The sequence below is a fragment of the Homo sapiens genome, chromosome 16, assembly GCF_000001405.40.
Source record: "Homo sapiens chromosome 16, GRCh38.p14 Primary Assembly".
NCBI classification, from domain to species: Eukaryota; Metazoa; Chordata; class Mammalia; order Primates; family Hominidae; genus Homo; species Homo sapiens.
Window position 1 is genome coordinate 85,087,800 of NC_000016.10, and position 10,041 is coordinate 85,097,840.

General features: G+C 55.7%; 1 protein-coding gene across 9 annotated transcripts in view, besides 2 other annotated features; it reads left to right on the forward strand.

The window, feature by feature from the left end:
• The window catches only part of KIAA0513, a 66,436-nt gene extending 60,005 nt beyond the window's left edge, over window positions 1-6,431 (forward strand). For 6 of the 9 annotated variants that reach the window (XM_047434984.1, XM_047434982.1, XM_017023912.2 and 3 more), the window contains one exon: window positions 477-6,431. In XM_047434984.1, coding sequence (XP_047290940.1) covers window positions 477-526 — 50 coding nt within the window. In that variant the 3' untranslated portion in view covers window positions 527-6,431. The remainder of the gene's footprint in view (window positions 1-476) is intronic. The other 3 variants (NM_001388359.1, NM_001286566.2, NM_014732.4) reach the window with 1 other exon arrangement.
• Window positions 446-1,271: an enhancer, noted in NCBI's record as "H3K4me1 hESC enhancer chr16:85121851-85122676 (GRCh37/hg19 assembly coordinates)". NCBI's record gives its function as "activates a minimal SCP1, AML or CMV promoter by ChIP-STARR-seq in primed H9 embryonic stem cells {active_cell/tissue: H9 hESC(primed)}" and the evidence as "EXISTENCE:reporter gene assay evidence [ECO:0000049][PMID:30033119]".
• Window positions 2,921-3,744: an enhancer, noted in NCBI's record as "H3K4me1 hESC enhancer chr16:85124326-85125149 (GRCh37/hg19 assembly coordinates)". NCBI's record gives its function as "activates a minimal SCP1, AML or CMV promoter by ChIP-STARR-seq in naive and primed H9 embryonic stem cells {active_cell/tissue: H9 hESC(naive and primed)}" and the evidence as "EXISTENCE:reporter gene assay evidence [ECO:0000049][PMID:30033119]".
• Window positions 6,432-10,041: the final 3,610 nt, after the last annotated feature.

Genomic DNA, 10,041 nt, shown 5'->3' on the forward strand with positions numbered 1-10,041 from the left:
ATCTGTGGTGGAGTGGCCTCAGGAGGCATGAGAGTGCCAGTGGCTGCTGGACGACCTCAGAATGTTGCTCGCAGCCCCACCTCACTAGCAAAGGGCAAGGGGGATGCTGCCACCTCTCCCGCTCCCCAGGTTGGCTGGACTGACTGCCCCTTGCCTTTCACAGGCTGTAGGGGCTGAGCCCCATGACACCATTTTCATAAGAAGGTGCGTTTCCCAGTTTTGAGGGCTGCTTCCAGCCACCTGCTTGCCCCACAGGCGGCGTGCTGGCCAAGAGGCTGTGTGTGCAATGCGCCCTCATGGCACAGCCCTGCCCTGAAGCACGCAAGCCGTGTGGCCTGCAGAAGGCAGTGTGGTTCAGGAGCTGCAGCCCTGCTCCCAGGGAGGCCCGATTCGTCCCTGTCCGAGTGACAAGAGCAGGATATACCTGTCCCTGTCACTGTCTTTCATCTGAGAAATAACATCACTTTCTCTTCCAGAGCAATACAAGCTGCTTAGTGACCACATTGAGCAAATGGCCACTGAGTAGGCCCCAGAGGTCGCACTCCGCAGGAGGACTGAGGCCATGTGCCATTCTCCCGGGCCCAGCGCCCGGCCGTCACCCCACCCGATGACCTGCATGAAGCCAGCAGCACCCAGAGCCACTCCTGCTGCCCTAGAACTAGCGGTTAGAAGAATCCGCTGTTCCTCCCTCATCTCCTCTGCCTGTGTCTGCGACCCCCATCCATGTGCCAAAGTGTCCCTTGGGTCACACAGCTAAAGCCGAGGTGACCAGTTGTACCCCGAGTGCCAGGCTTGTGAGATGAGACCAAGAGGGAGGAGGGGAAGGACTCCATGGGCCATCGTGGGCCAAGGGCTGGCGAGGGTGGGGGCGGGCAAGGGATGCAGGCAGGACAGCCATGAGGTGGGGCTGCAGCCGGCACACCCAGTGGTGGAGGGCCGGCGCTGCCACTCACGGTGGGTGGCCGTGGGCCACCTTCCCTGCAATGGGTGCACACGCGGCTCCCATCCAGCCCTCTCAGCGTGGGGCTGTGGCTGGTCCTCACTATTCCCCAGTCTCCCGCTGTGGGGCAGGAACAGGAAGTGACGGGAACCTTGAGGAGGAAACGCCTGTGTTAGGGAGAGAGTGGGTGCGGTGTAGAGGATGCTCTTGGCCGGCTGGAGCAAGACCTGGCTCCCACCAGAGGGACGTGTGTGTGCCTGCAGACGGCCCGGGAGCTGTGTGTCTCCGCCAGAGTCACAGCAGTGCCGAGGTGTCCGCGGCAGACCACACAGACCGTCTGAAATGCGCCCGCCTGGCGGACAGCTCCCTTCTGAAGCAGAGAAGCCTCCATGGTCACGAAGCAGCGTTGTGCTGTGTGTCCCTCGCAAGAAGCACAGGAAAGAGAAGTTTCTTTAGTAGCCACTAGACAACCACCCTTTCTGAAAGCAAACAGTGCTGCTCTTTATTCCAGACAAGGCAGGAAAGTCTGAGTTGGGAGTGACAGTGGCTGGAGAGAAGCAGATCTGTGCAACGTGCAGGGCAAGCCAGTGGCGTGGCCTCTGCCTCTAAGCGCTGAGCATTGGGCCCCTTCCCCACCAGACCTTTGTAGCTCCTCCAGCCTCTGCAGAGACTCCCTTCACCTCGCACTTACTGCCTGGGAACCACGGCCCTTCTCTTCTGTGGGTCTGTACCAGGTACTCCAGGCCAGCCCATGGGCCCGGGGCCTGACCCCAACACCTGCATGCTGGGTCCAGAGCCTTCTGTTTCACCGTGCGTGGACACTGCTAGGCCGCCTGGGGTCCCCTGCCTCCTGCCTGTCGCTGCCGTGGTCCCTGACTGCGAAATAGGCCCGCGGGGCTCTCCCTCCTCCTGCCATCCTCCCCTCCCGCCCTTCCTGGCTACCTCCTCTGACATGCGGTCAGATAAGTCCCGTCTTGTTTGTGAGTACCACAGAAACGCCTGAGAGTCACTTACCCGGCCACTGCTTGGAAGGTTTCCCTCCGGGGAATGCCTCCCTGGAATGTTCCAGAGACGGAACATTCTCTAGAGACAACAGTCTGTGCTGCAGATTGGTTGGATCACAGAATGTGTGTCTGGGGCATTATCTGAAACGTGGTGTCATCTGATGCATTTGGACCATATGCTGCCAGACTGCAGAACGGGGGAGCCGGGGCTCAGGGCCCCTGACTGCATGGTGCATGAGTGATCTCAGCCTAGCGATGCCGCTGGCCAGACCGTGACCATGCTGCCAGTGTGCTCGCCATGAGCTGGGTCAGGGCTGGGGAGTTGTGCAGGCTGGGGTGACCCTTCCCCCATCATTGGGCCCCAACGGGCATGTCTCCACCGAATCCATTTAGAGAAATGTCAGAGCGAGGGTTGTGTGGACACCCCTCGCTCTGATGCCAACTGCAGATAATACACACCTCCTGCAGCGTCCAGCCACGGCTCCAGGGCACTGCTCTCCTCCTTGCACCGGTGAAACTCAGGCCACACTCAAGGGCTGACTGTCCAGGCGCTCCCTTCAGCCGCCTCGTCGTCAGCGTTCTTAGTCATGCATTATTCGTGTTAGCTGAAATGCATTCAGACTTTGTTCTGCGGTGCCCACAGGACTTACCCCTGTATGTACAGGATTTTTGTATGAAAGTTTTGTTTGATTCTGAGACTCTCTTGGGAACGCTGGAGAGCTTGTGCACAGCCTCTGGAAGGAAAGGCAGCGCTGACTTCGTTGGGCTTTTTTCCAAGCACTTTAACTTCAGAAATGGTCTTGACACTTTTTTCTCCACATAGACTCTTGAAATAGCCATTTCAGGGGAGGAAAGGGTTGGGGTTTTCTTTGTTTGTTTGTTTGTTTCCCCCTTTACTACCTGTTCTTGTAGATCTAGCTCCTCAGAGTTGGAGGAAGGCTGACAGAGAAGGTCTCCTCTGTGCTCCATCCACACAGGATGCCGGAGAGACAGCCCCTTGTGCTGTGAGCAGAGCAGGCAGTGGCTCTGGAGGCTGCCTGTGGTCTCCTTCCGGCTGTGGCTGACAGTGGCTCTGGCCAGGGTTGCTTGGAGAAGGCTCAGTGTGCCTGGGACAGGGCTTACCACCTGCCACCAAGGTTTCCTCTCTTCCCCCAGGACCTGGGCAGAGCAGGCATGAGCTGGGCTGTGGTGCAGAGCAAGCAGACCCAGCCACACTGCTCAAAGGTCCCTGCGTGGGGAGGTGTCACACCAGGGGCACACCCAGGGCCACCTGGGTGTAGGAGAGCTCTGGTGGCCCCTCCGTAAACTCAGGAAGTGTCAGGTGATTTCCTAGGGAGAGGTTCCCAGTCCCAGCAGGCAGAATGCCCAAAACCAGGAGCACGAAGGCCTGTCATCCATGGGGCCATTGCAGGCACTCTGCCGCCCGACCTTGAGGGCTGTGCCAATCCTAGTGAACCAAAATGCAAACAACTCACACAAGTGAAAAGCTCCCTGCTTTGAAAACAGGACATGTTGACAGGCAGCATGGTATGTTTTTAGCCTTTGTTACAGTTTTAGCAACATTGATGTCTAAGAGGGGCCGTGGTAATAGATTGCATCTGCCCTGTGCATGCGCATGTTTAACCACAGGCCAGAGAACTCAATTCTGATGTCGTAAGTTCTCTGTAAGTGAAATGGGGTAGACTGTATGATTTTCCTATTGCCAAAAGAAAGAAAGGGGGCCAAACAGCTCTGAAATTTCCAAAAAATGGCTAGAGGGAGAGTCCAGTTTCTGAGCTCTGTACCCAAATTAAAATCCTGATGTTCAGGTTAATCCAAGCAACACGCATTGGGTTTAAAACCAGCACCGAGGCCCAGTGGGGGAATCACAGACATCACCAAGTCTCGTCTTCTTTCCTTCCTGTGAGTTGAAACCAAACAGGCCTCTCGCTCACTCCTCCCAGCCCAGTAATGCTGAGGAGTTCAGTTGTGAGGAAAGAAGGCTGGAGCTGTGAGATTCGCTTTTCCCTAGGCTGTTCCGCGTGGGTTACCTTATCACCCTGGAGCACTTGGTATTCCAGACCCCTGACATGAGGAATGCAGGTTCACACTGTAAAGAGTTTGTGAAAGGTTTCAGTCTAACTGGGGTTCCTTAGCTGGAAGCCAGGGCTGGAAGCTACAGGCCTGACCTTCCTGGGTCCCACTATCTGTTGGCATTTTTTTTTTTTTTTTTTTTTTAGACGGAGTTTTGCTCTTGTTGCCCAGGCTGGAGTGCAGTGACACAATCTCTACTCACTGCAACCTCCACCTCCCGGGTTCAAGCAATTCTCCTGCCTCAGCCTCCTGAGTAGCTGGGATGACAGGTGCACGCCACCACGCCCGGCTAATTTTTATATTTTTGGTAGAGATGGGGTTTCACCATGCTGGCCAGGCTGGTCTCGAACTCCTGACCTCAGGTGATCCCCCCCACCTCAGCCTCCCAAAGTGCTGGGATTACAGGCGTGAGGCATCACACCTGCCTCTGTTGGCTTTTTAGTTAGGAAGGATCCAGCTAGGCCCGTGTGGTTAGATCAGCTTTGTTACTGAATTACCTAAAACCAGACCACAGCACAGCCAGGGAGCCCAGTAGTGTTTCCAAGAACAGTGTGGAGCTTGAGAAAGAGAACTTTAAAAATTAGAGGGTCCCTTTCTGCAGAGGAAGGGATGCTCGCAGGGTGGCAGTGGCCCAGCCCCAGCCTCAGGGACGGGGAGGGAGAGCCCCCTCTGGGCCCAGCAGGCAGGTGTTCTGAGGCTGGTCCCTCCTCAGTTTCCGCAGCCACAAGGCGAAACGGCCAGATTCTCACTCAAGGTCGTTCTCACTCCTTTTCCTGTCCCGTTTCCAGTCCCACTGAGCCATTCACTTCTGCTGAACCATTTTTCTTAGGATGCAGCCGTCTCACTCCCTTGTCCTGTAAATCGTGTATTCATGTTGATGATTCTTGGAGATAGGTTTCACTTTTTCCCAGCTGCGTCCACAGGAAAGGGGAGTCGGATGCCAGCTGCACCCCGCCTGGCTCGCACAGGCTAAGACCACAGACAGAGCAGGGCTTCCCGGAGCCACACAGGCCACGCACCCCAGGAACCCTTGCTGCCGCGGGCCAGGAACAGGAATGTGTTGGTGCCTGAGACACCAAATGGAAGAAGCACATCAAGACTGTTCTCCTGCGGCCAACACTGGCCCGGAAGCCGCCCTCCATACAGGCCCTCAGGGGGCCTGCCTTCTGCGCCTCAGTCCCCCGTGCATCCCTGGGCCTGGGTATCACATGCTCTCCAGGAAAGGGACGGAATCAATCCTGTGACCGATGGGCTCGCAAGGATGGGTGCCGCCGTGGGAGCCCTGCCTCTGGTGCTGGCAAGGGATTGGGTTTGTGTGGGTGTCTCTAGCCTGCAGAGTGCAGTGAGTGAGAGTCCTTGGGAGCGCGGCGCTGCCTGTAGCTGTGCCTGGGGATGCACGTGGCCACGGGATTTCAGTGGGACAGCGCTCCCACAGGGGCTGGGGGTGGGGGTGGGGTTTCTTAGTTACTGTTGGAAAGGGAAAAATTCACCATATCCAAGGGGAGAGACGATGGGCTGGGTTTGTTTACTCCAACTTCCCTTCTACACCCCTCCTGCAGGACAGTACGATTTGGGGAGAACCCAGCTCCCCACTTTATCTGCAGACTCTGGGACCTGACAAAACAGTCAGAGCCTGAGTGCACTGCAGCCTGAACTCCCTTGAGCAGCGCTATAAGGGACTTTGCACTTTAAAAAGGGGATGCCTGTCAGTAAATCCCCTGTGCATTGACTAGAACTGGGGGGCTGCGCCCGCTCCCTCCTTAATCCTAGATGATTTGCTCATGAAATAGAGGTGGGGGACGACCGCATGCACTCTGGGAGGTGCAGCCCTAAGGGGTGGACTCCAGATCTCCCTGCAAGAGACAGCTTGGCTTGGCTTTGGCTGTTGGGGAGGAGTCCCTGCCATCCCGGTGAGCCTGGGGCTGTTGCTTAGGGTCTTCTGGGTGGACACGTGGAGAAAGAGAAGGCAAACGTTGGAACACTAGGAAAAGCTAGAAATTCAGACAACACACATGGATCCCCTTAAAACATGTAAATGTGTCAGAACACGGTTGACCTGCCGCCTTCTTGAACCTGGTGGCCCCCGTTGGAACTATCAGTGGCGTCTCCCATGCACACGCCCTCTGCTTTCTCTTTCCTAGACTCGCGGTGCTCACATCCAGACATTACCTTGTTGGTAGCCCCCAAGTGGCGTGCAGTGACACCAGTATCTTCTCTGTTGCATTTTTGCAATCTTGTGTCCCGCTCGGTGATGTTCTACAAACTCTGTTTTAAGGTTGAGAAAGTTTCAAGGGTGAAGATCTCAAAACAGTGCTAAAATCAAAGGTGTTTGCTGTGAAGAAAAACATGTGTATATATTGCACCTTGAGTTGTCAGAAGGTAGAAACTGAAATAAACTAACTTTAAAAAAAAAAGTCTGTTTAATTTTTAACACATCCATGAGGACTTTTTACAGAATTTGCAATCTTCTCAGTGATACCCATAGCTTTTCAGAAGGAAACCATTTTCTCTAAGGCCAAATAGACATTTTTCCCATGCGGGCTGAGCACCCGGGTCTTAACAGATAGAGCAGCCACGTTGGCCATGTTGGTAGTCTGTATTCATGAATGAGGGACCCCCTTTCTGGACTGGGTCTCGGCCCAGGTTCCACCAGCGCCTTGAGCCCCTCCACCTGGACACCTGACCCTACCCCTCAGAGCCAAAGCCACCTTACCTCTTTGATTGGGGGTTTTGGGGTGGTCAGTGGCCCTGACCACAGCCCCTATCCGACACGAGCAGGGCGCCTGCATCAGTTCCTTCCAACTCCGTTCTACAAAAGTATTTCAAACATCTGGGGGGTTTTCCTTTTCTCTGATTGTAAGAAGTCCACAGCCACATTCTGATACTCTGGCCTAAACAGATGGGCAATGAGCCCTGGGAAGGAGCAGGACGCAGGGGCATCCCCCAGACCCCAGGGCTGAGATGCAGGGGTCCCCTTCACGCCCGGGGAAGGAGCAGGACGCAGAGGCGTCCCCCAGACCCCAGGGCTGAGATGCAGGGGTCCCCTTCACGCCCGGGGAAGGAGCAGGGCACAGGGGTGTCCCCCAGACCCCAGGGCTGAGATGCAAGGTCCCCCTCCCCCAGCTGCCTGAGTGGAGTGCCACTCCAGGCAGAGAAGAATGGAGCAGCCTCCACGTCCCTGGCTCTCCATCTGCCCCCTCTTAGCCACACAGGGAGGGGCGGGCATGGCTGGTGGGTGCACAGCCCTGGGGCGTCGCATCTGGGCTTTTTCTCTGGTGTTGGGGGATTCCTCCCGCAGGAGGTGAGGGGTTAGACTCGGAGGCAAACTCCAGGGAGGGGAGAAACTCCTCTGAAAGGCAGCGAAGACCCCAAAGAGTTTGGGCAGCTCGGGGCAGGACCTGGAAGGGCCTGGATCCAGTTCCACCTCCCGGCAGCTGACTGTATGCCCTTAGCCAGATGGTTCTTTGAGCCTCAGCTTCTTCATCTGTGGACCAGGAAGAAGAGCATCACACGCCCTAGGCCGTTCCTGTGGGAAATGCAGGCAGGCCTCTTCCTGCACAGCTGCCCTTCAGACAGGGGCAGGAAGTTCCCTATCTAGTGAAAGAAAAAGGACCCAGCTCTTCTAATTTTTATAGGAATAAATTAAAATGTACTATTCGGCCGGGTGCGGTGGCTCACACCTGTAATCCCAGCACTTTGGGAGGCCGAGGTGGGTGGATCATTTGAGGTCGGGAGTTGGAGACCAGCCTGGCCAACATGGTGAAACCCCGTCTCTACTAATAATACAAACATTAGCTGGGCATGGTGGTGGGCACGTGTAGTCCCAGCTATTTGGGAGGCCGAGGCAAGAGAATCGTTTGAACCCAGGAGGCGGAGGTTGTAATGAGCCGAGATCATGCCTCTGCACTCCAGCCTGAGTGACAGAGCAAGACTCCATCTCAAAAAAAAAAAAAGGCAGGGAGGGAGGGCATCCCTGTGGGAGGCGGCCACCCCCACCTCTGCCTCCTCAGGGCCCCAAAAGAGAGAATTTCTGAGTTTTCTTGCCAGTTCCCAAGTGACCAGTGGAGAAGGAGTGACAGGGAAGGCTCTGGGCCAATTGTCCCACCTGTACTCCGGGACCATTGGTCTCTTTGGTGCACTGGGGCCAAAGGGGAAGGGGAGAGACCCCCAACCCAGCCGACCTTACATGAAATTGGCACCACCAATTCCAGGACCACAGCCCTGACAAGCAAGGTCATTGTCCTTCAGAAACTATCACAGAGCTGGGACTCAGCTGAGGTTTCTGAAAACACAGACATTTACATATAAGCAAATGTGTGTGTACACACAGGTATATGCGTATAAAAGTATACAAATATACACTCTAAAGCATTCATAGATGGAATATACAGATTATATAGAACATCTAGAAAGTTTTAGTTACTTCTGGAGTGTGTATCCTGGCCTGGGGGAGTCAAGTTATTTCTGGAGTGTGTATCCTGGCCTGGGGGAGTCAAGGATTCCCCAAGAGGTGCCGTGGAGCCAAATCTTGGGTAATGAAAATCACCGTGGGCCGAGCGCGGTGGCTCCCGCCTGTAATCCCAGCACTTTGGGAGGCCGAGGTGGGCAGATTGCCTGAGCTCAGGAGTTTAAGACCAGCCTGGCCAACAAGGCGAAAACCCACCTCTACTAAAAATACAAAACATTAGCCAGGCGTGGCGGCGGGTGCCTGTAGTCCCAGCTACAGGTGAGGTTGAGGCACGAGAGTCGCTTGAACCTGGGAGGCAGAAGTTTCAGTGAGCTGAGATCGCACCACTGGGTGACAGAGTGAGACTCTGTCTCAAAAAAATCACTGTGATGAAGACGCCAACCCTACCTCGATCCTGTGAGAAAGATGTGTGTCCCTCACTTTGCTAATGAAAAAAACCAGGGCACTCCACGTGGGGAATGCGAACTCGGGGCTGTCTGGCTCTAGAGCTCAGCGGTTATCTACGAGGGCAGCATGAGGGGCCACCGGGTGGACCATTCCCAGCCAAGGTCTTCAGAATGCAGGAGGCTAGCCAGGGATGAGCCCCCCACAGCGTGGATGCCCCACCCCAGGCCCTCGAAAGGATTCCACAGCTGGAACAGGCGCCCCCCCAGGATGGAAGGTTTGTGATCCTACCTAGGAAGTTGGTAGAAAGAAGCTTCTATGCTGTTCCATCTCCTCATGGAGGATTTAGCCTCATTTGGAACTTTCACTGGCTTCCGTTGTCTCAACAGAGACAAGCTGCTTTCTGGCTTTGAGATGCTGGGACCCCCGACCGGGGGTGGCCCGTTGGGGGTGCTGGGATCAGTGAAGCCAGCCTGTATCTGCAGGCTCCAGGTGCACCTTCCAACCCGGGACCATTGGGCAGTGTGTGGCCTTGAGGGACAGAGATGGCCACACTCATGGGAAGCACGGAAGCCAGTTTTTTTTGTTTGCTTGTTTGTTTTTTGAGACGGAGTTTTGCTTTTGTTGCCCAGGCTGGAGTGCTGTGGCACGATCTCGGCTCACTGCAACCTCTGCCCTGCTGGTTCGAGCGATTTTCCTGCCTCAGCCTCCCGAGTACCTGGGATTACAGGCGCAAGCCACCACGCCTGGCTAATTTTTTGTATATTTGGTAGAGATAAGGTTTCACCATGTTGGCCAAGCTGGTCTCAAACTCCAGACCTCAGGTGATCCACCTGCCTCGGCCTCCCAAAGCGCTGGGATTACAGGTGTGAGCCTCCGTGCCTGGCCACGGAAGCCAGTTCTAGGACCCAGACATCTCCACCAAGCCTCAATGTCACCAAGTCGTGCCAGGCTGGGAGGAGCAGGCTCATCTCGGCTGCCCTCAGAGACGGTCCAGAGGATTAGCTCCCCGGCTGTGCACCAGGGGCCCCAGCAGACAGCCCCCCAGTCCACACACCCCAACCCTCTCTACACTTCCATCCCCCTCTGACCTCTGTGGACTTCTGTGACAATCTTTGTCCCAAGAGCATCCCTGCACATCACGTCCATGTGTTACGGGCTGAATTTTGCCC